This window comes from Homo sapiens, chromosome 10 (assembly GCF_000001405.40).
Source record: "Homo sapiens chromosome 10, GRCh38.p14 Primary Assembly".
NCBI lineage: Eukaryota > Metazoa > Chordata > Mammalia > Primates > Hominidae > Homo > Homo sapiens.
The window spans coordinates 98,594,892-98,618,292 of record NC_000010.11 but is presented as its reverse complement, the minus strand read 5'-3'; the positions used below and the strand labels follow the sequence as shown (position 1 = coordinate 98,618,292).

General features: G+C 40.8%; 1 protein-coding gene across 12 annotated transcripts in view; it reads left to right on the top strand.

The window, feature by feature from the left end:
- HPSE2 (heparanase 2 (inactive)) overlaps window positions 1-23,401 on the top strand; it is an 858,875-nt gene that overhangs the window by 697,659 nt on the left and 137,815 nt on the right. For all 12 annotated transcript variants that reach the window (XM_047425614.1, NM_001166245.1, XM_011540030.2 and 9 more), the window contains one exon: window positions 3,275-3,389. In XM_047425614.1, coding sequence (XP_047281570.1) covers window positions 3,275-3,389 — 115 coding nt within the window. The remainder of the gene's footprint in view (window positions 1-3,274; window positions 3,390-23,401) is intronic.

Below are 23,401 nucleotides of genomic sequence, written 5' to 3'. Positions count from 1 at the left end.
AATAGCCATAGATTCCTACAGTCACTTTGCAGAACACAGATCAACATAGTTGTTTATATTCTGGCTGTAATTCAGATATCCAATGCTTAGTTGACACAGATCTGATGAAAACTAGTTTATTCTGCTCCCCATCTCTCTTACCTCTTTGTCACCCATTTGGTCTCAACTCCACTGACAGCACCCAGCAATGTGCCCTTTGAGTTCAGTTCTCCAAGGGGCATAAATTGCTTCCTGTCGTGGCGGGGGGGAGTAGGGGAGCAGTAAAGCATTCTAGGAAGCTGTAGGAGGCTATTAAGAAATTGAAAAGACGGCATTTTTCCAGCCTTTTTGAAATGTTTATATATCACGTAACTCTGAGTTCACCAGGACATATACATGCACGTATGCATAAATTGGGATTCTCTGCTACCGAGTGTTCAAAAGTAGAGTTTCCCAGCTAGGGCTTTGAGATTCTTTGGTGGACCACAAATACTCTTGGTATGCTGCTGTGTCTCAAGCACCTAATAGTGTCTGGTACATAGTAGATATTCACCTTTAGTGGAGTGGAAAATAATGGCAGGGTAGCATCTTTGGTTAGATATACCAGTCATTTTATCAACTGTCTGTAGCTAAGCATAGAATGGGAAGACCATTGCTTTCCCTCTCTGAGGGGTCTTGTTATTATAGGAGGAAGATGAAGATAACTTTCATGTTAACCATTCTATTCCTAAAGCCATGGGAAAGCAGTAGTTCTGGTTCTAGCCATTTTTGAATGCTCCAGATCTTGCATATGCATATAGGGATGTAGGTTTGCAGGGAGAATGCATATTCTTAATTTCTTAAATATCTTCCTATACACTAGTAAAAACATCAGGTTTATGAATTGATATTTATTTGTTGAGTATATACTCTATGCAGGTCACTAAGCTAAGCTCTGTAGAGGTCAAAAGTAGACATTTGATATGATTCTTTTAAATATGTATACACAGGCATTTACATGGTCACACAAGCGTTTTTTAATATCTTCTCAATTCTGAAAACAATGCCTAGCATTTAGCATTGACTAATGTTATTGAATAAATAATGAATGAGTAAACAAGTAGGATCTTTTCACATATAAAAACACCAAGATAGAGCCCTGTATTGACATGAAGATGCTGCTAGATGGAGGGACTCACATATGTGATTATGTGTTTCTTCATTGTTTTGTTTCTTCCTTCGTTTGACAAGCATAGGGATGGAAAGTTGAATAAGACAATTTGCTTTTAAAATACTTGTTAGATATAGACCCTATTGTATTTGTGCCATTTCAATACAGAAAGAACACTACTTAGGAGGCGTTAGCCCACAATTCATGTTATAGTTCTACCACAGGACAGCCTTTGACAAGGTATTTCATAGTATGTCTCAGTGGCTAAAGGAAAAGCTAAACCTGTTATCTTGATTTTATAGGATTACCAAATTAATAAAAATTATGAAGGCAAGTAGCTTGCTTAGCCATGTCATGTTCCAAAAGTAATTTCAATTCCCTGGGTCACAATGTTCCAATTTGAAGAACAACAACAAAAATGATTCTACTATATTACAGTCAGATTTCCCTTTTGATTTAAAACTTTTGTGTTTTGCTTTGCTTTTTGTTTTGTTTTATTTTTATAACTCTAATTGTCAGTAAATATTTGTTAGTTTTTTTGAGAATAAAATATAATTGTAAATGTAAAAAACATTTAAATATAGGAATAATATTTATTCACAATATAAAAATTAGCAGTGCTCTTTATTCCAGCAAGGAAAAAACTTAATTCTTCAAGTCACGGGTTTGGAGCTCCATATGGCTTCAGATTTAGGAAATCATAACTATGCGTAATTTTCCCCAGTGTGCTGAATGGTGATTCTCAAAGTTCCGAGAATCTAATTTTATCCAGACAGATTTCAAGTCAACAGAGTATTGAGTACCTACGGTGTGCCAGGAATGGTGATGGGTGTTTGCGGTACAAGTTCAGACATTGTGTCTATGCTTGATGAACTCAGAACTGACAGAGGAAAGGTGGAGAAATAAGTTAAGTGATTCTTTCTGTGGACTTTCTGAGGGTATGAATAAGAGATCTGGGGAAGTACAGAGGAAGGTACCACTGTTGGCTGGGGCAGCAGAGTTTAGAATAAAATGACACGTGATTTGGAGATTAATATATGAGAAGAAATCTGCCAGATGAAAAGGGGTAGGTTCAAAGAAGAGTAGAAGGGAATTCTAAGCAGAAGTTAAAACATGTATAAGGACTTGGGTAAGTGTGAGAAAGCAATGTGTATTTGGGTAGCCAAGAGTAGTTTCATGTGTCTTGGAGCCTGTGGGAAATGGGGTCTAGGGTGAGAGAAGATGGGGAAGAGGTGACAGATAAAGCTGGACACACACATGTTTAGGACAAGTTGTGAAATGCCTTATCTTTCATATAGAGAAGACTGAATCTCTAAGTCACATTTATTCTATGTATTATTACAAGTAGAAGTTTCCCTAAGTTTCAGAATTAGGAAGAGAAAGAGAAGCCCAAATGAATGCATGAATGTGTAAATAATGAAGGCAGAGTTAGCAGTGTTGGAAGAACTAAGAGGGCAGTATTTTTGAAGGATGGCATGCCCTGGAAAATAGGTGTTTGGCATAGTAGGATAGATGATAAGTATGTGAACAGTGCAGGTCCTCCACTGCAAAATATGTGTGATGGTGGCATACTTGAATCCCTGAATAGTTACTTATAGTGCCAAGGAAAATTATTATTGCATTGACTACTGACAGTGATATATGAGGGTTGCTAATGACTAGACTATATTTGCATAGGTCATAGGAGTATATGAGTTAGAGTTCTGTTAAAGGTACATATTCAGGGACAGGGTATAAGCAGGGGAGTTTGAGGGATGGAATGCACAATGTGCGCTCTTCTGTAATTGTATGTCCTCTGGCCAGGAGGGATATTAGGCTTACAAATGGCTAGGGTGTTCATTTGTTAGTATTTCAGGAATAAAAAGTTAAGTCATTCACAACAAACTATTTAATGATCAAGGGCAGTTCATTTTACTCCTCTAGACCTCTGTTTCTTTTTCTATCAAATGAAGAGGTTGGATTTGATAATCTCTAAAATATATTACAGCTGTGAACTTAATGCTTAAAATAACCCTTTTTAAAGTACTAGGTAAATTTGGTGACTGGAGATTGGTGTATATGTGTATATAGTAGCCAGTCTCTATAGAGCTTGTTATATGCCATTTAAAAAATATATTGATGTAGCTCTTTTTCTCTGCCTTTTAGATGGTTGAACACTTTAGGAATGCTGGCCAATCAGGGCATTGATGTCGTGATACGGCACTCATTTTTTGACCATGGATACAATCACCTCGTGGACCAGAATTTTAACCCATTACCAGTAAGTGTGGGATAAAGATTCCCAATCCCTTTTCCATGTCATTCAGTTCTTTTGATCATGCCTTGTTCCATACTAGGAGAATATTTTTCCTCTTGCTGTTACCAGTTAATTTCATTCATTGAACAGAAACATTCCTGTCTTTGTTCCCTTGATCCGTTTTACAGACTTTTGGCTTCAACACACACACACACACACACACACATCTGTTCACTCACTTTTATATATACACATACATATGTATGTGCAGTATGCAATATACATATATTCATTTATATATATTTGTATATTTATTACTATTGTTTTAACAATCCAGGCCGGGCACGGTGGCTCACGCCTGTAATCTCAGCACTTTGGGAGGCCAAGGCGGGTGGATCACGAGGTCAGGAGATCGAGCCCATCCTGGCTAACATGGTGAAACCCCGTCTCCACTAAAAATACAAAAAATTAGCTGTGTGTGATGGCGGGCACCTGTGGTCCCAGCTACTTGGGAGGCTGAAGCAGGAGAATGGCATGAACCCGAGAGGCAGAGCTTGCAGTGAGCCGAGATGGTGCCACTGCACTCCAGCCTGGGCGACTGAGCGAGACTCCGTCTCAAAAAAAAAAAAAACAAAACAATCCTTGTGCAGTTGAGATTCCCCATCTACTTGTGGCCTGTTTGAACTCTGCTTGAGAGTGAATTTTTCCAGATTGTTTTATTTTAATGCTAATAGGAGACATTAGTTAACATCAAATGCAACATGTTGAAAGCAGATGGGGGAGTGTTATCCAAGATCAGACACACTAGGAACCCATCTCTTGAGGAGTGGCTGAAGTGCAATTACAGTTAGATGATGAGCCCCGTGTGACAATGAGGGGATTTACCAAGAGCGTCAACTTATCTAGGAAAGAAAAGGAAAGAGAAAAATAAACTAGAATGGCAAAAGCAGAAATATGGGTTTGTCTAGTCACCTTATTGGCCAATCAGAGAAATTCCATGGACCAGAAAAGCTACGCTTATCAGAAATATTACACGGGTTATCCTTTATCACAGAAGTCATGGTCATGACAAAAGATCAGACTGCTCTCATCAAGTCATAGAATTTCAGAGCTGGGATCCCTCCTTGAGATGATCCAATTCCACCTCATTTAACTGAGGGACTGCTAGCTAGGGGAGGGGCAAGGAGGTGGGACATGTAGGGCTAGCCCTAGAACCTGTTCCTGTGCCTTGGTTCAGTGCTCTTTCTACAGAACTATTTGTTGCCCTGGGGCCCACAATAAACAAACCCAAACTGGAACCAGTGAGCATTCCTACCACTTGCCTCTCTCTGCCTATTTCTACCACTCCCTCCATTCCCCAAGCCCTAAGCCAGGAAGCTTCCAAGCCCAGAGCAGAGAACAGCTCAGCACCCACAGCACCAGTTCCACGTCTCAATTACAACCAAGTAATTGTTGTATCACTTGGTGTACATGACTCCAAAAGTACAATTAAATCACAAAGAGTAAAACTAACTAGCATAATTGCTTACATTTGCCGGACTAGTGTACCTCTCCCAAGATACATGTGTGGGAGACTGGGGTGGAGAGGGGTAAAAGAGAGTTTTCAGCATGGAACCATAGAGGATTGTTTTGTTTTGTTTTTGCAGAAATAAAATAATTAGAAAAGTATCTATGAAATGTAAGCACTAAACAAATATAATGGCACACAGAAATAAATATTTTTTGAACATCAGGCACTGGAGAGGACTAGTAATAGATAAGTGAATCAACAAATAAGAGAGCACTGCTTGGGCCCTTCAGGGTACATGTGCAGGAAAGGCTTCTCTGAGAAGGTGACATGTAAGCCAAGAGCCAATGACAGTAAAGAGCCAGCTATGCAGATTTCACAAAAGAACTTTCCAGGCCTGGGAAGAAACTAACACAAAAGCTCCGAGGCAGGAACAAACTTGGCACGTTTGCGGAAACACAAGAACACTAGGGTGACCGGGGCATGATGAGGAAGGGGGAGAGGTTGGAAATGAGGTAGGCAGGAGTCATATCACCTAGGGCTTTGTAAGCTGAAAGGAGTTGACCTGTAGATAGTATGAAAAGCCACTGGAAGGCCTAATTAGGGAAGTAACCTGATCTAACTTACATTTTAAACAGATCACCTTGGCATAATTCACGCATTAAATGTTAGTTATAAAAGATGCAGATAATACTTAACAATGTACAGTTCACTTTCATAAATGGCATCTACAATGCTCTGAACACTTCCCTCTGTCCTTCTTTTTCCTTTCTTTCCTTTTTTCCTTTATTCCTTTCATCACTCATTCAAATTTCATTCACTCTTCTTGATCATGTACTATGTGCTGATTGCTATTCCTGGCAATAGGCCACTGTGGGGAACCAAAAAGACAAGGTTGCTGAACTCTTGGAGTTTACAATGTAGTGAACTGTACTGAGAAATGGAAAATAAATAAACATAAATCAGAGAATTGCAATTTGTCATAATTGCTCTAAAAAGAACCTGGTGAGATGAATATGACTATTTATACTAATTTTGCTAAAGAGAAACTAAGGTTCTGTGACATTATTGAGTGACTTATCCAAGGTCAGACGAGTAGTAAGAAAACTGGAACTCAGAGTTTTCCAGTTCTAAATTGTGTTTTCTTTTCACTGGACTACACTGTTTCTTATGGTAGCCTCTTTGATGTCTTTTCTGTGTCTGAGGCCAACATTGCCTTAGAATTGACTCTGGAAATGAAAACAGGCATGTTGAGAAATTGGAGAGAAGAAAACAGGCTGGAAAAAGATGGTCTTTGGGTGACTAGACAGGCTTCATTTCCAGAGTTGGACAAACTTGGATTCCATATCAACCCTCTTTGGACCTTTGCATGGCCATGTGTAAGTTAAGGATGTCAGTCCTCATGGCTTTGTCCTCCTCAAATAAGAGTTGCTGTCAGTGACTTTCTTTAAAAGCATGGCACAAAAGACCTCAGTTGATACATGGTGGAGCAGAGCTCATAGAAGTTCATAGGAAGAGAAAACAAGTTCCACTGATTCAGCACAAAGACTCAAATGATCTGGGCAGCTGTATTTCTGGAAACACCAAGCTGTAATAAAGAAACTGTATGTAAAAGCACTTAAAAAGGTAGCAGGCTTTCTTTTTATCTTTCTTTGCACTAATAAATTCTGCACCTTATAAGTAGAGAACTTGGCAGCTGGGAGAGTGTGTCCTAAGTCTCCCCTGGAAGGAATTTACAAGGCTAGACCAGAACACCAATCTGACACACATTGCCAGCAGGCCCCTGGAATGTGTAATGGAGACAGACCTGGGAATCGTACTGGTTGCCACTTCAGAGAGTTGTGCAATTGATAACTAAACACTGCCAATAAAAACTTGTGGATTTTACATTGTGATTAAATCTTCAAGAGAGTTTGTTAAGCGCTTAGGGGATTAGTGAGTTGCATTTTGCCTCCCAAAACTAGTGCTTTTGAATAAATTGAGAAAAGTGAACATCCTGGCCTTATGGCTCTTCAACCCATATCCCATTTTACCCCTCCCCCTGCCCAGTCAACTTTAATCCCAGTTTGTGGCATTCTAGCCTAGCTCTGGCAGGACCATTTCAACAGCCCCAATCTAAGGTAAGAGAGAATATGAGGATAGCTCTTTAGAAGAGAAACTTGTCCTTAGAAAAGATCATTTTCAAATATACCCCATGTTCTTCATGGTTATTCCTCCAGAAAAGTGCCACCCACCTCCTGCTATGACATTTTCCTTCTCCTGGGAGGAGAATATTTAGTTCAGCCATGCTTCATCACTCGACTCCCACTCCCTTCCCCTGGCCCCCCCCAACACTGGGAAAATGGGGACGTGTGAGTCTCCACAGCTGGTCAGTCAGTCACGGGCTCCCTTGGGAGTAGGCGATGTTTGTGCAGAAGAGATCTGCACATTTGGTGGACATAGTCCAGACCCCACCAGTCATGGGCATTTCTCCTCAGAGAGGGTTTTGGAATTTAGCTTGCTGCTTTTTTTAAGAGCTTGATTTACAGAGCTTTCAGGGAAAGGAATGGTGAATTACTAGTCGACATCTTCTTAACTCCCACACCAGGCTGTCTTCACACAATTCAATTCAAAAAGCATGGACACCTCGGTTGTGTCTGGCTTCATGCTTGACATTCTAGGGACATGCACATAAATTCATCTATGGAACTAATAATCTGATATGTGTTTGTGGGACTACAATTTAGTCCTCTATTTGGAATAAAATAAAAAGCTAGATCACATTGGATTGCCTTTTCCACAGTGGGCACAGTGGTATGGAAATTTACTGCCAGCATGCTTTTTTGCCTACTTTCCCTGATGAATCATATACATTCATTTCAGCCCAGTGCACACTTATTGAGTGCCTGCTGTGCACATTGTTCTGGAGTATAGTCATTGGTCATGGATTGGAGTACAATTCACTAGTCTATGGTGAGATTGAACCTGTGGTTGCAGTTCCCATAGCAACATGCTCTGAGCCAAGCCATCGCTGTTCAGATGTCATTTGACCATCAGAAGGAAACTCTAACTCTTACTGGTGCCTGCCTAGCACAGTTGATGAGCCTATCACAAGATCCTAGGACAAGATCCTAGATGCTCCATCCTTGTTTCCCTCCAAAGTGTTAGAGACAATGCCGAGTATGCACTGCCAAGCTATGGTGTGGACACAGGGCTTAAATCTCTCCCTGTGTAGAGCAAGGACACCCAGTTACAAACCCATGTTCCATTGATGCTGGATTGATACAAGAACACCACCTGAGGCCAGGCACAATGGCTCACGCCTGTAATCCCAGCACTTTAGGAGGCCAAGGCGGGCGGATCACGAGGTCAGGGGATTGAGACCATCCTGGCTAACATAGTGAAACCCCGTCTCTAGTAAAAATACAAAAAACTAGCCAGGCATGGTGGCGGGCACCTGTAGTCCTAGCTGCTCGAGAGGCTGAGGCAGGAGAATCACTTGAATCTTGGAGGTGGAGGTTGCAGTGAGCTGAGATCGTGCCACTGCACTCCAGCCTGGGCGACAGAGTGAGACTCTGTCTCAAAAAAAAAAAAAAAAAAAAGAAGAAGAAGAAGAACACCACCTAATTAGAAGGCATCATAGGAAACAGCAGGAGCCTGGAACTATGGTAAGATTCATGAGTTCTAGTCCTAGCTCTGCCATTAATTAGATGTGTATCTTGGTATTCCAGTTTTCCCATCACTTAAATTGGAATAAAAATGCCACCTCTACCTCCAGAAGTTACTGTTACAATCTTTGAGCAAATTAGGTATAAAAATAGGATTCTGATTTGGTATATATACATACATGTAGAAAATTACAGAAGGGGACTACATCTAAATGTTAAAAGTGGTTTTCTTTGGGTGGTAAGATTACAGGCAGTTTTTATTTTCTTACGTGAATTTTTTGTATGGAAAATTGCTGCAATCAGCATTATTGCTTTTAAGATCTTAAAGAAGGCCTATTTTTCAAAGAAAAAAGAGTATTTCAAAAGGATTGTGTTTAAATAACTATGCAAATGTTCACTTATTATTCATGTTTCACTTATTCGTAAACACTTATTGCATTCATGCTATGTGCTAGATACTATGCTAGACACTAGAGATACTGTCCTGCCCTCAAGGAGCTTACAGTAGAGATAGGGAGATAGACAAGTTAGCAGGGACTGTAACAGAAGCCCTATAGTGTATTAGAAGAGGAGTACAGAAGTCATACTGGGTGGAGGACAGGCATGGGGCATCAAGGAAGGCTTTCTGGAGGAAACAATGCCTGAGCTGAATCTTTAAAAAGGGCCAGTTAGCCATAGGAAGAAGAGTTTGGGGTCTGGGGAGGAGCTTCCAAACAGAAGCAGTAGTATATTTAAAGTACAGAGGCATTAATTTTCCAGTGAATCATGTTAGATGGATTAGGAAAAATTAAGAAAACTTTTCCCATTGCTGTCCAGTGGCCACACAGGGTGTATGAAAATTAAAGAATTTCAAAGCTACAGACCTGGAGGTGGTAGGGCGGGGGAGGCACAAAACCCAGCCAAACCAGCCTGTGACCTGTTTCTTGGTGAAGCCGCCTTTCTCTTTCTTTTCTTTCCCGTGGGAGCCATCAGGAAGATGAAAGAAGCAGAGTGTACCTGTTTAGGGGTAGCTGTGATGTGAAACCCAATGCTCCCATTAGGGGCCCTGACAAAGATTTCACCATGTGCAGCCTTCCTTTGTGGGAACCTGCGGCTGCTGAGAGAAGGGCATCCTTGGCTGCAGGATCAATCACTGAGACTCAGGCTGGCTCCACGTCAGTGGCCGAAGTGCCTGGGCTGCATGCCCAGGGAACATGACTTGCTTCTTTTCTCCTCTGTGTCTTTAAACCCTGGCTGCTCAAATCAGAGCCTGTGCTCTGCACTATCTGACAGGAAGGCAGTTCTTTTGCCCCTAATGCTTTCACGTAGACGTTCCTCTGATTTTCTACTAGGAGTTCTCCCTTGCTTATTTATCAGCCTGAGCGGTGTGCACAGGATGTCGGCAACAACACTAGCAGTTGCAACAGCTCACGCCGATGCAAGCCCCCTTGGGAAACAGAAAGCGCTCTAGACCTAAAATCAGAAGGTGCAAGCTCAAAATGCACACCACAATTTTCTAGTTACATGAGTCTTCATTTCTTCCTCTGTGAAATGGGGCTAACTGTGCTGGTGTTAGAGACAGGGAAGTATTTGAATGTACTGCTTAAAAGTATTGGCTTTGGAATCTGACTGACCTGAGTTTCAAAACCAGCTCTACCACTTACTAGCTATATGTCCTTGGATTTATAAGCATCAATAAATATCAATTTCCTCTCATAAAATGGAGACAATAATAGTGTCTACCTCAGAGGGTTGTTGGAAAGATTAAACGAGCCAATGAATATGTATCTTTTACCACATAGTAAATACTCAATAAATGTTAATCACTATTATTATTTATAAAGTCACTTTGTTAAAATTCTATAAGTCACAATAATTATCATTAATAACCTGAATATAACTGTGGTAAGATAATAAACATTTGTTATCAAATATATATTTGATATGTATTTGATATATATTTGATGCATTTGATACCTAATATACATTTGATATGTAGTTGACATACATTTGATATTTAGATATCTGGAAATCAATTCAAGCAATGATGACTAAAGGATGAAAAGTAGATTTTTTGGTAAAAGTAATTTAACTTTTTATAATTTTCTAGCAACTTAACTAGAAAACGAGAAGAACAAAAAAGGAAAACTATGATTCCTTCACTTGAGAGGAATTGACTGCAAAGGTTAAAGACAAACTAAAAATTACATTTTATTTCCCTCCGGAGAAGATGCTGGCAAGCTTTCCCAGTGAAGGCAATTAAGGCAGTAACCAGGCTGCAATACTAGCCCCAGCACCTTCATTTGGTATTTATAAATGGCCCAATAAGCCCTGGAAACCATGATATGTGACATCAAAGTGCTAATGACAGCACATTATGTGAATCACTGAGAAGCAACAATTGAAAATCCCACTCTGCCATCAGCCATTTATATTGTTCCCAGATTGCAATACTGAGGGATTACAGCTACAGCAAATTGTGTGGCCTCCTAAATAAATTAGGGAGAAGAAGCAATTATAGTCTTGCTGCACTTGAGTTTAGGAACATGATTTGCCATCCTTGAAGCAACGTGCAGACAGCGAGGAGCAAGGTCAGCTCTGGAATGAGAAGAACTGCACTCACCTAACCTCATCAGCTCACTGAAAACACTAAACAATTATCTAAAAATGACCTGAGAAGAAAGAGAGGGAGGGAGAGAGGGAGGGAGGGAGGGAGAGAGGGAGGGAGGGAGGGAGGGAGAAAGAAAAAGAAAGGAAAGCAGGAAGAGGAAAAAAAGAAATGTCCTTTGCTAGGTTGGAAGGCACTTTTGTGAATGCCACGATATGACAAATTTAAGAATATTTCATCTTAAAGACTATATTGGCAAACATTAAGGGCACAACGATGTCTGGTTGTGACCTGTAGGAACCAAAAAATAAGCCGCTGATAGAACCAAGATAATACGTTATGTTTTTTTCTAACTCAATTATGGTTTTGTGCTTGTTTAAATAAAAGCAAAAGTCTTTATTAAAAAATAGAACAAATAAAAATAAATTCTGCTTTTTAATTCTTATTTAAATGTACTACACTATAACATTTTTTTAAAAAAATCTGTCAGTCATTAGATACCTCACTTACTAACTTTCAATTATTATCAATCTCTGCTTATTTCATCCTTGATTTGGTTTTAAGCATTGAAAGGATTCAATAGAACACACCATTTTTATTTACCCTAAATTTGACGGCAGAAGACCTGCCTTCTATTCTAAAATTCACCCTCGTCTTGTTGTCACAATCCTTATAGCCTTTCTTTGTTAGAGCAGTGGTTCTCAAGCCTGGCTGAACATTATAGTCACCTCGGGAGCTTCTTAAAAATACCTGTGCTTAGGCACCAACCCCAGAGATTCCTGTTCAAGTTGATCCGTAGAGGATCCCAGGTGTTGATATTTTTTTAAAGTCCAAGTGATTCAACGTGAAGCCAGAATTGAGAACTGTATTAGAGGTTTACATTGCCCTAATTAAATTAACTACCTTTTTATTTTTCTCTACTCCTCTGTACTCAACTCTTGCTTCAATTTTTGAGATATTAACAAAATATTTAGTACTGTCTATCATTCATTCATTTGACAACTATTTATTGAGTACCTAGTATGTGCCAGACACTTGTAGATTCTGATGAAATGGAGGTGAAGGGGAAAGACAAGATCCCTGTCCTCACTGGAGGTTACAGTCTAGAAGGGGAGACTAAAAATAAACAAGTAAACTAACAATTAATTACAAAATTCTGAATGCTGTGTAGGAAGCAGTTGCTAAGTTGAATAATGAGGAGGGGAGGCTTCTTTAGAAAGTGTGGCTAAGGAGGTCTTCACTGAAGAGGCAGCCATTAGAGAGGCTGGTGGAAGAGCAGAGCATCGCTCAACAGGAACAGCATCTGCAAAGGCTGCAGTGGGGGAAAGACGCTCAGTCACACATCAGAGGTCACACAGTGTCCCTAAGACCAACCTGAGGTATGGTCCACCCACTGCCAGGCACAGAGGCAGGCAGCACTGCTCAGCAAAGTTTAGCTCAAGCTCCCTGCACCTGATGCTCTATCCTGCCCTTGCCACCAGCACTTGGCAAACTTCATTGCTTCCTGTTTATTGCCCTTCATACAAATAATAGTGGTGTATCTCACTGCCTGGCCCTTTATCTGGGATCCCCGACTGAACTTGGTGCCTAGAGTTTCCCTGTCACTGGCCCAACCATCCCCATTTACACTCTCTGTCACCTGTCATCAGACTTTGAAACGAGAATGGCAGAACATTTGGTGGTTTATTATACTATTCCGTTTTTTAGTATCTTTACAAATTTCACTGATAATTCTTTTTAATATCTTTGTTCGAGAACCTTATGACATACACTAAAACAAAGCACTGTTTTAGTTTCTGTAGAACATAAAAAATAATGTTAGATTCCTTCTCTCCATGTTTACAATCTGTGTTGGGTGGCATAAAGCCTTGGAGAGAGTTAATAGATGATGGATGTGTATGTTAAATTCTGTCTTGTTCACTCATTATCCCCAGAGCCTAACATAAGGTGCCTTGCATAGGAAGTACTTGATAAATATTTGTGAAAATAAGACAGGGAGGAAAGGATCCAAATGATCAGTAGACAATAGATTTTTTAGATGTCTGAGGTAGGAGATATTACTACTGGCTGGAAGGGAGGAGCTAAAGGGAAGACTTGGAAAGACTGTGCAACAAGACGTCATTGGCAGATATTTGTAATATTAGTTACCCAAATAATACATGTTCCTGAGAAGGCTCCTTACCCCAGGGCACCATAATGAAGTGACAGCAGGAAGGCAGGAAGGCCTTGGGATAGAAGGCTCACCTACTGGAAGACCAGGAGTTCTGGATCTGATTCCACATTCTGACACCAACTCACTCATTGTAGGGCACTGGGCGCTCTGGGTCTGTCTCTAATGTAGAGGTTGAATTGGACAATCTGAGTTTCCCTTCAGCTCTGAAGTTTTCTGATTCATTTCAATATGTTATTTCCATACCACTATCTTCAGATGGACCTCCCAGCTGAACCTAAATTAATAAAATCTTTTAAAATAAAACTGCACTGCTTCCCTTTGAAACCATTCAGGAAATAAAGCTTTTTTCTTCAAGGCTCCTGTAGCCCTGTTATAGTACTTACGACTGTCTTTTGTTATTAGAATTGTTGGGGTCCATCTACTACTAAATTCTCAGTCATTATTGTTTCAATTATTTCTTCGATTCCTTTCTCTTTCTTCTCCTTCTAGTTTGTTACACCTTTTGTAGTTGTCCCACAGTCCTCTGATATGCTGCCCTGTTTTAATCAGTCTTTATTCACTTTGCTGTTCAATTTGGGAGATTTCTATTGATATATCCTCAAATTCAGAGATTATTTCCTCAGCCATGTCCAGTCTACTAATAATCTTATCAAGGGCATTCTTCATTTGTGTTATAGTATTTCTGATCTCTAGCATTTTTTTTTTTTAGTTCTTTCTTAGGATATCCATCTCTCTGCTTGCATTGCTCATCTGCTTTTGCATACTATTTGCTTTGTCCATTAGAGCCTTTAGCATATTAATAATAGCTGTTTTTAATTCCTGTTCAGATAATTTCAGCATCCCTGCCATGTCTAATGTTTGCTCTGTTTCTTCAAACTGTGTTTTTTCCCTTTAAGTGTGCCTTGTAATTTATCTGGATAGCTGTGATGTATCAGGTAAAAAGAACAATTGTAAATAAGCCTTTAGTAATACGGTGGTAAGGTATGGGGGGAGAGGAAGCATCCTATAGTCCTATGATTAGGTCTCAGACTTTTTGTGAGCCTGTGCCTTTGGACTGTGAACTTCACAAGTGTTTTTCAGTATTTTTCTTCCCTCTTTTGGTGGAACAGGATGGCTAGAGTGGGCTGGAGTTGGTATTTCCCTTCTCCTGCATGGAAGGCTAGAGCTGACTGGAGTTGGGTATTTCCTTTCACTTAGGTCAGTTAGGCTCTGATAATACCCCAACAGGGTATTATTAGGCTATGGTTAACTAGTTTCTCCTGAGGGCAGAACTTGCTAAGAACAGAGGCCAGGCACGGTGGCTCACACCTGTAATCCCAGCACTTTGGGAGGCCAAGGTGGGCAGATCACGAGGTCAGGAGATAGAGACCATCCTGCCCAACATGGTGAAACCCCGTTACTACTAAAATACAAAAAATTAGCCTGGCATGGTGGTGTGTGCCTGTAGTCCCAGCTACTCGGGAGGCTGTGGCAGGAGAATTGCTTGAACCTGGGAGGCGGAGGTTGCACTAAGCCAAGATCAAGCCACTGTACTCCAGCCTGGCGACAGAGCAAGACTCTGTCAAAAAAAAAAACAAAAAAACAGAGTGCTCTGGCGTATTTCAAAATAGTTCCTTTCCCCTTACCCCTACTGAAAGCATGAAGAATTTTTGCCCAGTATTTGCTGTGAGATCCTGGTTGAGCTCCTGGAGGTAAAACTCACAAAAATATGGGGGTTTTCCCAATGACTGAGTCCTCCGGGAGTTGCAAACTCTCAAACTTGTCCACACTGAGCCTCCAGCACAGTCACAGTTCAGGTTGTCTGCTGCAGTATGCCATGACTCCCTGTATTTGTCTGTCTGTCTCTCCAATTTTGGGGGCAGTGGTTTGCCCTGTGTCCTCACCTCTCTAATGGATCCAAGAAAAATTGTTGATTTTTCAGACTGTTCAGCTTTTTATTTATTGTTCAGAAGGAATGGTGACTTCTAAACTCCTCATATATGGAAGTGGAAACCAGAAGTCCAATAATCTGTGTGTTGTCTTTTTATTTTCTTGATGGTGTCCTTTTAAGCACAAAAGGTTTTAATTTTGATGAACTCTAATTTATCTATTTTTTGGTCATTTGTACTTTTGGTGTTCAATTCAAGGCCACAAAGATCTACTCCTATTTTTTCTTCTAAGAATTTGTATAGTTGTAGCTCTCCTATCTTTAGGTCTTTGGTCCATTTGAGTTAATTTTTGTACATGATATGAGGTAGAGATTCAACATCATTCTTTTGCATGTAGATACAGTTGTCCCAATACCATTTGTTGAAAAGACTATTCTTTTCCCATTTAATCATCTTGGCACTTTTATTGAAAATTAAGTGACCACATATGTAAGGGTTTATTTCTGGACTTTCAATTTTATTCCATAGATCTTTATGTCTACCTTTATACATATATGTATATGTACAGTAATCAAGAGATTATGGCCAATACCATAATCTCTTGATTACTGTAGTTTTGTATTAAACTTTGAAATTGGAAAGTGTGAGTAACTGCAAAAATGAATATGTTCTTTTTCAAGACTGGTTTAGTTACTACTTTCAGTTTTGAGTGGTGTGACAGCTGCTCACAGCTCAATCAAATGAATTTCCAATGTTTTCAGCCCTTCCAAAGCCCCATGTCAGGTGGTAAGTTCATAATTACTGACATCATCTATTTCAGCTTTCAGTAAGCACAACCACATTGCATTTGGGTTAGGATCACAGGGCTTGCTATCCCATTGTCAAAATAAACATCCTTTCCCTCACCCTCCTTGGGAAAGTGACCAAAAGCCAAGGTACCATTTTGGTGGCTTGTTTCAATCCTATCACTGTTTGCTTCCAAATAATTAGTTCTACTTTTGTTCATTAAAAATAGGACACTGGGGAACCCTTACTCCTCAGCATCACTCACTACTTTGGTGAGAGCACTTACTATCAGCTCCTGGGAATACTTATATCCCCAACCCGACCTGCAAAGCCTCTGTCCTTCCTCTTTCAGAAAGTCATGTCACTGTTGGCATCCCGTCCTCGTCACTGTAGCTGTCAAGAACTGTGAAGGGCCTGAGAGTTACCCTATTTGCAAGCTAACAAGTTTGCCTTTGCTGCTTCAAGCCCAAGTCTTCTAGGTCAGAAACAGAAGACTTTATCTACTCAGCAAGCATCATTAGCATATTTGCATCAGTTTCCCTGGCCACCGAGTCCCACAGGAACAACGCAGTGGGCCCAAATTTATGCTACACATGCAGTGGGTCTAAGCTGCAGCTGAGGAGTTCAGGCCAAAAGCCTAGCACTTTTTAGGCTATCAGCAAACATTGTGGAAGCAGCAAACAAGCCAGTATTCCTCCCCGCAGGGGTGGGCAATTATATGGTAGTCATGCTGTGGTCATTTTGACAACTTAGTTGCCTGTGTAAGTAGCTGCAGAAACTACTTTTTATCAGAAGACATAAGTCTTGCAGTCTGGCACACTCATCAAGAACATGCAGAGATAATCACGGTTGGTAGTCAACTACTTCTCCCAACAATCCATCCCTCAGCCCTACATGTTCTTGGCTGAACTCAGATTTACACTGAGTATGCCACTCCATCAGCTACTCTGATTAATCTGATGGATGGAGGCTGAGACCAAATTTGTTCCATTTTTCTTATATAGTATGATGGTTAATTGTATGTGTCAACTTGGCTAGGCCATGTTACCCAGATAGTTGGTCAAACATTATTCTAGATATTTCTATGAAGATATTCTTTAGATGAGATTGATATTTAAATTAATAGACTTTGAGTAAAGCAGATTACCCTCCATAATGTGGATGGGCTTCATCCAATCAGTTGAAGACCTTGATAGAGAAAAGACTGGCCTTCCCTGAACAACAACAACAAAAATTCTGCCAGCAGACTGCCTTCAGGCTTGAACTGCAACCTCAGCTCTTCCCTGGGTCTCCACCCTGCCAGCAGCCTACCCTACAGATTTTGGACTTCCCAGCATCCATAATTACCTGAGCCAGTTACTTAAAATCAATCTGTCTGTTTCTTTCTCTCTCTCTCTCTCACTCTCTTTCTCTCTTTCTATATATATATATATATATATATATATATACACACACACATATATATACGTATATATGTATATATACATATATACGTATATATATAATATGTGTGTGTATATATATCTTTGTGTATATCTACACACACACGCACACACGTGTATATATACATACATGTTTATGTATGTATATATGTGTGTATATTTTTTTTGTGTGTATGTATATACATATATATCCTATTAGTATAGGTTCTGTTTCTCTGGAGAACTATGACTAATACATACAGCATTTAATTAAGCACTTATATGAAATACTGAGCATATTACATTGCAGTTCATCTGTTTGTCTTTTTTTCCTCCTTCTCCATGAGGAGGAGAAACATTTGAGTTGAAAGTGACTGAAATCTGATGTGCAGAGACTTTGTTTTTGGTAATCTCTATACTCCTCAGACACAGTAGGTACTCAATAAAAGTTTGATGAGTGAAAGAGGAACTGAGTATGTAAGTGTATGATTGGATTTCTTCAACACTTATAATTACCTTCCCCAACATCTCCATTAAACAAAACTCAAGCTGTCTTTCAAAGTTTATCTCAAAGACCACCAACTCTTTCTTGACGCTTTTCTTGAATTATCCTAAGTGAATGTTTTCTTTTCTGCTTCTAAAAATCATTAACATGTTATCTGTATCCTTTTATGCATGTAGTATATATGGTGTTACCTACAGGTATTTATAGTCATTTGTAAACTTGTCATTATTTCCCTTCCTAGAATATAAGCTCCTTGAGGGTAGGGACTTGATATACTTTTCCTATGTTCTTGCAAGCAGTAAACATCCATACCTAACGTACACTAAAAAATTATTTGCTGAATTGGACTGTCTCAAACCAGAGTAGAAAATCACTGGTGCAAATGTGCTAATTACCCACAGCTGGTCTTAAAGGTGTTTTGATTATTAGTTAGCGGCTCAGATTCCCTTTAGGAAACATGACTTTTTTGCTAATGATCACTTTAACCACTACACATCAATGTAATGACTATTTGTCTTTAAAATTAGCCAAAAAAGAAGGCTGGGAGTATAGCAGCAAGATGGCAGAATAGGACTTTCCAGAGCTTGTCTCCCTGTGGAAACATCCATTTGAACCACAACAATTATGTGTGAAAATACCTTCACAAGAGCTAAGGAAGCCAGGTGAAATATTATAGCACCTAGGTAGAGCACAGAAATAAGACACATTGAACCTCTTCAATATGGAAGGAAGAACAGTTTTATACCACTCCTCCAACCCTAGGCAGCATAGCATTGAAAGAGATACCCTGCACTTGGGGGAAGGAGAGGGAAGTGAACACCAGACTTTGCTTCAGACCCTCAACACCAGGACTGTACCCAATAAAACTGAGCACTGGTCAGGCCCCCATGGGACCAGACTCCAGGCCAGTACCTACAGACTGAGTCTCCAAACCCGCCCTGCACCAGTCAAGACGTCACAGCCCCAGGCTCCAGGCCTGTCCCACTATTGGACTGGCCCTAGTGGTCCTGGGCTTCAGGCCCACCCTGAAGGGCCAGGTCAGGCCAGCCCCAGCAGACACAGTATCCAAACCACCCCTGCAGTCTTAGCCATCAGGATAGCACCGTTCAATTCAGCCTTCAGGCTGGCCACCGTGGATACAGACTCTAGACCCGTCTAGCACCAGCCAGCTCCTGTGGCCTCAGGCTTCAGGACTACCCCAGAACCAGGTTGACACATGTAGCCTTAGGCACCAGGCTGACACCCATGGACACAGAATCTGGGCATGCCCAGTGCCAAGCCAGTCCCTTTGTCCTATCCTTCAGGTCAATCTCTGTGGCCCCAAGCTCCAGCAGACCCAAGGTTTAGGCCATTCTCAGTAGATCCCAGTGCTGGTTGGACCAGTCCCCGTGGACCCAGGCTTCAGGACCACCTCTGTGGACCCAGGTTCCATGATGGCCCCCATGGCCTAAGGATCCAGGTCACCCCTCACAGACCTAGTTTCCAAGCCAGCACCTATACACCCAATCTCCAAGCCAACCCCAGTGGACCCAGGCTTCAGGCCAGTCCCCGTAGCCCTAGGTGCCAGCCAGTACCCATGATCGCAGGCTCTATACCAGCCCTTATAGACCCAGGCTCCATGCCTGCTTCATCACTGGCTAGCCCCAGGATCCAGGCCAGTCCTGATGACACCAGACTCCAGTTGACCCAAGGTCAAGACCCACCCAAGTAGATCCCAGTGCCAGGCCAGCCCCTGTGGGCCTAGGACCCAGGTCTGCCTCCACAGACTCAGGCTTCAGGCCTGTCCCAGCACCAGGTCAGTTGCTGTGGACCAGGACACAGACCCATCTTCCATGAGCTCAGGCTTCAGTCACAACGCTGTGGACCCAGGTATCAGACCCATCCCAGCACCTGGCTGGTCCCAGAAGATTCAGGCTCAAGGCCCACACCAGCACCAGGTCAACCTCTATGGACCCAGTCTTAGACTGGCTGTCATGGATACAGGCTCCAGGTTCATCCCCACAGATACAGGCTCCAGGCCTGCCCTAATTGACCCAATTAATAAGTCTACCACAGTGGATCCAGGATCCAGGCCCAGCCCTGAGGACTTACACCAGGCCTGCTAACCTGACCCAGGCACCAGGTCAGCCTGCCCAAAGACTCCAGCAGCAAGCCCATCTATGGACCACTCCAGACAACCTGCCCAGAATCTCCAGATGGGCTGACTGGTAAAGCCACTCTGCAGCAAATAGAATAAGTCCTTACTTCTTCAAAATGTGCAGATATCAACCTAAGGCAACAGGTAACATATAAAAACAAGGTGACATACCACCAAAAGAACACAATAAGACAAGTTGTTTGAAAATATACTGTCAGAGGTGGAAAAAAGAAAAAAAAAAGAATGAAAGGGAATGAAGAAAGCCTATGGGATCCATGGGACAGCATCAAAAGAGCAATTTTTTTTTTTTTTTTTTTTTTTTTTTTGAGATGGAGTCTCACTCTGTCACCCAGGCTGGAGTGCAGTGGCATGATCTCGGCTCACTGCAACCTCCACCTCCTGGGTTGAAGCAATTCTCCCACCTCAGCCTCCTGAGTAGCTTGGATTACAGCCACGCACCACCATGCCCAGCTAATTTTTGTATTTTTAGTAGAGACGGGGTCTCACCATATTGGCCAAGCTGGTCTCAAACTCCTGACCTCAAATGCCTGCCTCAGCCTCCCATGATGCTGGGATTACAGGTGTAAGTCAACACATGCGGATGAGCAATTTTTTTTTTTTTTCTTGAGACAGAGTCTCGCTCTGTTGCCCAGGCTGGAGTGCAGTGGCACAATCTCGGCTCACTGCAACCTCTGCCTCCTGGGTTCAAACGATTCTTCTGCCTCAGCCTCCCAAGTAGCTGGGACTACAGGCACATGCCACCACATCCGGCTATTTTTCTTTTTTTTTTTTTTAGTAGAAACAGGGTTTCACCATGTTGACAAGGCTGGTCTCGAACTCCTGAGCTCAGGCAATCCACCCGCCTTGGCCTTCCAAAGTGCTGGGATTACAGGTGTGAGCCGTGGCACATGGCCACAAATTTTTTAATTGTAGAAGTTCAAGGGGGAGCAAAGGGACAAAGGAATAGAAATTTTACTTAAAGAAATAATAGCAGAAAACATTCCTTATCCAAATCTGGGAAAAGATATAAATATCCAAGTACAGGAAGGCCAAAGGTCTCTGATATTGTTTGGCTGTGTCCCCACCCAAATCTCATCTTGAATTGTAGTTCCCGTAATCCCCATGTGTTGTAGGAGGGACCTGGTGGGAGGTAATTGAATCATGGGGGCAGTTTCCCCCATGCTGTTCTCATGATAGTGAGTAAGTTCTCATGAGAGCTGATGGTTTTATAAGGGACTTTCCCCCCTTTTGCTTGGCACTTCTCCTTGCTGCCACCATGTAAAGAAGGACGTGTTTGTTTCCCCTTCCACCATATTGTAAGTTTTCTGAGGCCTCCCCACTCATGCTGAACTGTGAGTCAATTAAACCTCTTTCCTTTATAAATTACCCAGTCTCAGGTATGTCTTTATTAACAGTATGAGAACGAATTAATACAGTCTCCAGTCAGATTCACTCCACACAAGACTACACTAAGATATATTATAATTAAATTGTCAAAAATCAAAGACAAAAAGTAGTTATTGAAAGCAGCAAGAAAAAAGAAGCAAATCGCATATAAGGGAGTTCCAATAAGGATAGCAGCAGACTTCTCAGCAGAAACATTACAGGCCAGGAGACAGTGTGATGATACATTCAAAGTGCTGAAGAAATAAAAACAACAAAAAAACCTGCCAACCAAGAATACTTTACCCAGGAAAGTTGCACTTCAGAAATAAATGAAAGATAGACTTTCCCAGACAAACAAAAGCTAAGGGAGTTCATTATTACCACTAGACCTACCTTAGCAAAAATGCTAAAGGGATGCTTCAAGCTGAAAAAAAAAAAGGATGCTAATTAGTAACGTGAAAACATAGGGTAAAAATCACTGGTAAAAGTAAATATAGAGTCAAGTTCAGAATACTTTAATACTGTAATGGTGTTGTGTAAACCATTTATATCTTTAAAATGAAGATTAAAAAACTACTAAAAATAACAATAGCAACAATAATTTGTTAGGGGATACACAATATAAAAATATTTAAATTGTTGTATCAAAATTATAAAATGTGGGAGCAGAGAGTAAAAGTGTAGGTTTTTTGTGATCAAAGTTTATTTGTTCTAATACCAAAGCCAGATAAGGTCACTAAAAGGGAAAGGAAAATATAGGCCAATATTCCTGATGCATATAGATGCAAAAGTCACCTAAAAAATACTGGCAAACCAAATTCAACAGCACGTTAAAAGGATTATTTATCATGATCAACTGGGATTTATCCCAGGGATGCAAGAATGGTTCAACATGCATAAATCTATAAAGGTAATACACTACATTAACAGAATGAAGGACAAAAAACATATAATCATTTCAATAGATGTAGAAAAAGCATATGACAAAACTCAACATTGTTTCATGATGAAAACTCTCAACAATTAGGTATACAAAGAATGTATCGCAAAACAATAGAGTCCATATATGACAAACCCACAGCTAACATTATACTCCATGGTGAAAAGTTGAAAGCTTTTCCTCTAAGATCAGGAAAAAGGCAAGAATGTCCACTCTCACCATTTCTACTCAACATAGTATTGGAAGTCCTAGCCAGGACAGTTAGGCAAGAGAAAGAAAGCAAAAGCATCCACATTGGAAAATAATAAGTTAAATTGTTCCTTTTTGCAGATGACATGATCTTATATAAGGAAATCCTAAAGACTCCACTAAAAAAACCATTAGAACTAATAAATTGATTCAGTAAAATTGCAGGATATAAAACCAATATATAAAAATAGTAGCATATTAATATACTAACAAGAAACTATCTGAAAAAGAATCAAGAAAATAATCTCATTTGGCCGGGTGTGGTGGCTCACGCCTGTAATCCCACCACTTTGGGAGGCTGAGGCGGGTGGATCACGAGGTCAGGAGAGCGAGACCATCCTGGCTAACACAGTGAAACCCCATCTCTACTAAAAATACAAAAAAATTTGCCAGGTGTGGTGGTGGGCATCTGTAGTCCCAGCTACTCAGGAGGCTGAGGCAGGAGAATGGCGTGAACCCGGGAGGCGGAGCTTGCAGTGAGCCGAGATTGCACCACTGCACTCCAGCCTGGGTGACAGAGCGAGACTCCGTCTCAAAAAAAAAAAAAAAAAAAAAAATCTCATTTATAATAGCTACAGAAATACTTAGGAATAAATTTAACCAAGGAGGTAAAAGACCTATATCCTGAAAACTATAAAACATTGATGAAAAAAATTGAAGAAGACACAAATAAATGGAAAGATCTCTTGTGTTCATGGATTGGAAGAATTACATGTTCATACTACCCAAAGTGATGTGCAGATTTAATGCAATCTCTATCAAAATTCATCCTATCAAAAAAGAACATCCTTTGCACACTGTTGGTGGGAATGTAAATTAGTACAGTCATT